This window comes from Homo sapiens, chromosome 12, assembly GCF_000001405.40.
Source record: "Homo sapiens chromosome 12, GRCh38.p14 Primary Assembly".
In the NCBI taxonomy this organism is placed as follows: domain Eukaryota; kingdom Metazoa; phylum Chordata; class Mammalia; order Primates; family Hominidae; genus Homo; species Homo sapiens.
Window position 1 is genome coordinate 39151729 of NC_000012.12, and position 6000 is coordinate 39157728.

The following is a 6000-nucleotide window of genomic DNA, read 5'->3' on the forward strand; positions in this document are numbered from 1 at the left end:
TTTCTTCTTTTTAGTGTAGGTTATTTTTCTTGTGGCATGTTTTAATTTCTTGCTTTTTATTTTTTGTTCATCCATTGTATGTTTTTGGATTTAAAGTTACCATGAGGCTTACAAATAATATTTTACAACCCATTATTTAAAACTGATGACAACTTAACACTGATTGCATAAACAAAGTAACAAAGAAGCAAAAAGAAAACTAATAAAAACTCTACACTTTGACTTTGTCTCCCTGAATTTTAAATTTTTGCTGTTTCTATTTATATCTTTGTTTTATATGTACTTACTATTACCAGTGAGTTTTGTACCTTCAATAATTTCTTATGCTCACTAATATCCTTCTTTTTTCAGATTGAACAAATTTCTTTACCATTTCATATTGGATAGGTCTGCTGTTGATGAAATCCCTGAGCTTTTGTTTGTCTGGGAAACTTTATTTCTCCTGCATGTTTCAATGAAGAAAACATAAAGGAGATATTTTACCAGATAAATTATTCACCAGATATTTCACCAGATATATTATTCCAGGATTAAATTATCCTAGAATAATATATCTAGTGAAATAGAATTTCATTCAGCACTTTAATTTAGAATTTTCTTCAACACTTTAATATGTCATGCCACTCTCCTCTGACCTGTAAGGTTTCTACAGAAAAGGCTGCTGCAAGATGTGTTGGAGCTCCATTGTATGTTATTGATTCTTTTTCTCTTCCTGTTTTTAGAATCCTTTCTTTATCCTTGAGCTTTGGGAGTGTGATATTAAATGCCTTGAGGTAATCTTCTTTGAGTAAAATCTATGTGGTGTTCTAACCTTCTTGTATTTGAATATTGATACCTTTCTTTAGGTTTGGGAAGTTCTCTGTTATTATGCCTTTGAACACATTTTCTACCCCTACCTCTCTCTCTACCTCCTCTTTAAGGATGATAACTCTTAGGTTTGCCCTTTTGAGGCTATTTTCTAGATAGTGTGGGCATGCTTCTTTCTTTCTCACTCTATTTTCTCTAGTCTCCTCTGTGTATTTTCTAATGGCCTGTCTCTAAGCTCACTAATTCTTTCTTAAGTTTCTCACTATGCTCTTAAGAGACTCTGATGTATTCTTCAGTATGTCAATTGCATTTTTGAGCTCCAGAATTTCTGCTGATTTTTAAAATTATTTCAATTTATTTTTAAATTTAGGATTCTTAATTTCTGATAAGATTCCTAATTTCTTCTCCGTGTTATTTTGAATTTATTTGAGTTTCTTCAAAACAGCTATTTCCAATTATCTGTCTAAAAGGTCACATATCTCTGTCTCTCTGGGATTGGTCTGTGGTACTTCATTTAGTGTTTGGTGAGATCATGTTTTCCTGGATGGTCTTGATACTTGCGGATGATTGTTGATGTCTGGGCAGTTAGATATTTACTGGAGTCTTTGCAGTCTGTGTTTGTTTGTACCCATCCTTCTTGGGAACACTTTTCAGGTATCTGAAGGGACTTGGGTGTTGTGATCTCAGTTTTTGGTCACTGCAGCCATATCTATATTAGGAGACACTCTCAGCCCAGTAATACTGTGGTTCTTGCACACTCACAGAGGTACCACCTTGGTGATCATGGATAAGATCCAGGAGAATTCTCTGGATTACCAGGCAGAGATTCCTGTCCTCTTCCCTTACTTTCTCCCAGTACTATGGAGGCTCTCTCTCTCTCTCTCTCTGATGAGCTCCCTGGAGCTGGGGGAAGGGTGACACAAGCACCTCTATGGCCACGGCCACTGGGACTGTCCTAGGTCAGACCTGAAGCCAGCACAGCACTGAGTCTTGCCCAAGGCCTGCGGTAACCACTCCCTAGCTACCACTTATGTTCTCTCAAGACCCTAGGGCTGTACAATCAGCAGGTGGCAAAGTGAGCTAGGCTTGTCTCCTTCTGTTCAAAGCAGTGAGTTCCCCTGGGCCCCAGGCAGGTCCAGAGATGCTGTCCAGGAGCCAGGGCCTAGAGTCAGAAACCTTAGAAATCTACCTGATACTTTATTCTACTGTGGCTGAGCTGACACCAAAACCACAGGACAAAGTCCTTCCCACTCTTCCCTCCGCTTTCCTGAGGCAGCGTTGTCTCCCTCCTCATGTCTACTGCCACCACAGGCTCACAGGAATGCTGCCAGAGTACTGTTGATATTCACTTAAGGCCCAAAGGCTTTTCAGTCAACTTGTGGTGAATGCTGCCAGGCCTGGTAGTTGGGGTCCCCTCTGGCCTGGAGTAGTTCTAGAAATGCCATTTAAGAGCCAAGGCTTGAAATCAAGACCCTGCTTGGTGCTCTTCCCCATTGTGGCTGAGCTGCTACCCAGGCTGCAAGACAAAGTCCCCTTTACTCTTTCCTCTCCTTTTCTCAAACAGAAGGAGTCTTTCCTCATAGCCACCACAGTTGGGAATGTGCTGGGTCACACCTGAAGCCAGTATGTCTCAGAGTAAGTCCCTCAGCATGTACTACCTGGTTCAGGGACCAAGGACACTTTAGTCAGCAGGTGATGGATCCTGCCAGGGCTGGTCCTTCCCTCCAAGACAGCAGGTTTCCTTCTGGCCCAGGGTGTGTCTAGAAATGTTATCCAGGAGCTAGAGCCTGGAATGGGGGGCCTTTTGACTCTGCCTGGTGCCCTATCCCACAGTAGCTGAGCTGGTATCCAAGTTACAAGACAAAGTCCTCTTTACTTTTCCCTTTGCTTTTCCTCAAGAGGAAGAAAAGAGTCTTTTTCAGAGCTGTGAGCTGCATTGCCTGGGGTTGGGGAAGGGGTGATGCAAACACTCCTTTAGCCACCCAGCTGGTGTATCACTAGGTCACATGCACCCCAAGTCCAGTGGCTCTGAACCCAGCATAGCACCAGGACTTAGCTAGCAGTCGCAGTCCTTGTGGCCTAAACTGCCTTTTGAATTTATTTAGAACCCCGGAGCACTTTAGCCTGTGGTGGCAAGGCTTGCTGAAACTCAAGTTCCAACTGCTGGGATGGGCAATTCCCTTCTGGCTAGGGCTTATCTAAATGCTTCCTCCATAGGCAGTGGCTGAGTTCTGCTTGGTGTTGATAGCACTCGATTCCAATGCAAAGTCCCACAATTGCTGTGCTCTCCCTCCCCCAAGTGCACAGATTCTCTTTGCATTACATGATCACTGCCATGGGATGAGGGAGGGGTGGTATGGGCAATTCAAGATTGTCTCTCTTACCCTCTCCAGTGCCTCTTTCAGTAATTTGAAGTTAAAACCAGTTACTATGATCACTCACCTGATTGTTGGTTCTCATGATATGGTGCTTTTTTGTGTAGATAATGTTAAATGTGGTGCTCCTGCTGGGAGGATGACCAATGGGGGCTTCTATTCAGCCATCTTGCTCCACCTCTGACTATATTTATATTCTTTAAGGAGGAATATCTTTTTTCCTTGCTCAATTTTATTTCAGACCATTGGGATTTGACATTTATTGTGAAATATTTCAAGCACATAAAAATAGGAAAAATAGAGTATCTGTATCCAATACCCAGTTTAAGAAAGAAAACAAAGTGTTACCATGAAGCCCCTATGTAGTCTTCGTAGGTGCCCTCTTATCATTCACTTCCATCCACAGCAGGATAACCTTACTTTGAATTTCTTGTTTGCCATATTCAAGCATTTATTTATATTTTTGCTATGCATACGTATGTCTCCTGCTATGGTCTGAGTGTTTAAGCCCCCTGTCAAAATTTATGAGTTGAAATAATGACTCCCAGAGATAGACTCCTTCTCCCTCTGCCCGGCGAGGACCCAGCAAAAAGACAACAATCCATGAACCAGAAAATATCCTCTCATTAGACACAGAATCTGCTGGCACATTGATCTTGGGCTTCCCAGAATCCAAAATTGTAAGATATATGTGTGTGTGTGTGTGTAGAGATATATATATATATACACATATATATATATATATATATACACACATATATGTGTGTGTGTGTGTGTGTTTGTTTTGTTTATAAGGCACTCAGTCTATGACATTTTGTTACAGCAGCCAAAAGGACTCCTGAAGCATATATTTTGCATGTTTGCATATATTTAAACTTCATGGAATGGAATAATTTCTTTTTACTCTTCTATGACTTGATTTTTCTTCCTTAAAATTATATTTTTATGACTCATCCTGTTGATAAATGTCTGAAGTTCATTTGACCACTGTATTTAGGCTTCTGTCTAACGACTATATAACACTTCGCTTACTCATTTTCTTACTGATAGATGTTTCCACAGTATCTTGCTTTTCAACAAATAGCTGCTCTGAACCTCTTTGTGCTTTTTTCTTAAACATATTTACAAACATCCTTAAAGTATTTTCTGAAGACTAATTAATGGTCATAAAATATGTTCATGTTTTCTGAACTTGGAAAAATCATGTTACCCAAATGGAAATTTTACTTTTGTCATTCCAAAAAATGTTAAATAAGAACACACTATATGTCAGACATCATGCTTAGTATGGGGGATAGAGCAGCAAACATAGGCATGAACTCTGCCCTCATGGTTCTTATACTATTGTAGATAATAGAGGAGATTTATATGTTGGGGAATGTTCTGTAGTAAATGATGTCTGAGGTCTTACTTAATTTTGAGATTTTATGGTTCTGTAAAATCAGACATGAGTCTATGAACCAAAATGATTTTAAAACCAAAATATTTTTCTTTCCTTCAGGAACACTTAATTATTTAACATGTAACCACAAAATGAGGCAATAATACTGAACTTAATGAGACAAAGCAATCAAGGATATTAAATTTTTACTCTTCAGTAAGAAAAGAATATGCAATTCAGACAGAAAGACTATGCAATAGGGAGTAAGCAAATAATTGGTCCAAGAAAAATAACTCCAATTGAAAGATAAGTAATAAGTTAAACAGAAGGAAACAAGATAGGTTGCACCAAAAGCTATTGCAAGAAAAAAAGAAGGAAACAAGCTTTATTTTTAAAAAGGGTTGAGGGGGGGTAGCTAAAAAATAAATGCCTAAAAATTCATGCCATAAACCAGATAACGTTACAAATATTTCTCCTAAATCAAATAAATCATTAAAAAGTAGAACTTCCATGAAATGAGAAATGACCGAAATGCTACAGTGGCTCAAAGATAGATGTGGGGCACGATTATGTCAAGAATCCTCTCTACTTACTATGGTGAGGCCAGAACAAGAAAGGGGAGGGAAATGTGTGGCCTTCTTTTGTGAAATTTAAAACCTTGACCAGGGAAGGAAATAGGGAATGGCAGATTTTTTTTTTTCCATCCCTTTTTACGCGCCTCCCCATCATTTTCTTTTGCCTGATATAAAACACTCACTCATTTATTGAACATATAATGGACAATAATGGACAACATAAACTTGTCCAGTGTGCCAAACTATGTGCTATCAGTTGTGAATACAAAAAGTGAACAAGACTAAAAACATACCTGCCCTATAAGCTTATATTCTAGTGCAGTAAACAAATAAATGAAGAAGTAAGTAAATGCACAAATAGGTCAATTTTAGAATCTGATAAGAATTATAAAGAGAATAAACAGTATGATGGGATAGTAATTGGAGAAGGTGGATGTGGGAGACAGGGAGATCAGGGAAGGCCTCTCTGATTAATTTGAACTGGGACATTAGCTGCATAAAAAAAAAAATAGGCCAGGCATGCAAAGAACTAAGGAAAATATTCCAAGGTAAGATAGATATACGTGAGCAAATGATAGGAGGGCAGAAGGGGTTTGCCATATTTGAGGAACAGAAAGGATATCATTGTGAGGGTCAAGTGAGATTTTTGTTTTTTAATATGGTGATTCTATAGGACATTCATGTAAAGGATGGGAATTAATCACTATAGAGGAGACACATGACTTCAAAGAGAGAAGCCTCTGAGAAATAAAGAAAAGGTAGGGTTCAGAGCTCAAGCATAGGAATTTGATTTTATTTAAAAAAGAGGTCCTTATTGCATTCTTACAGGAAGAAAGGCTGAGAAGATCTGTAAAATTGCATG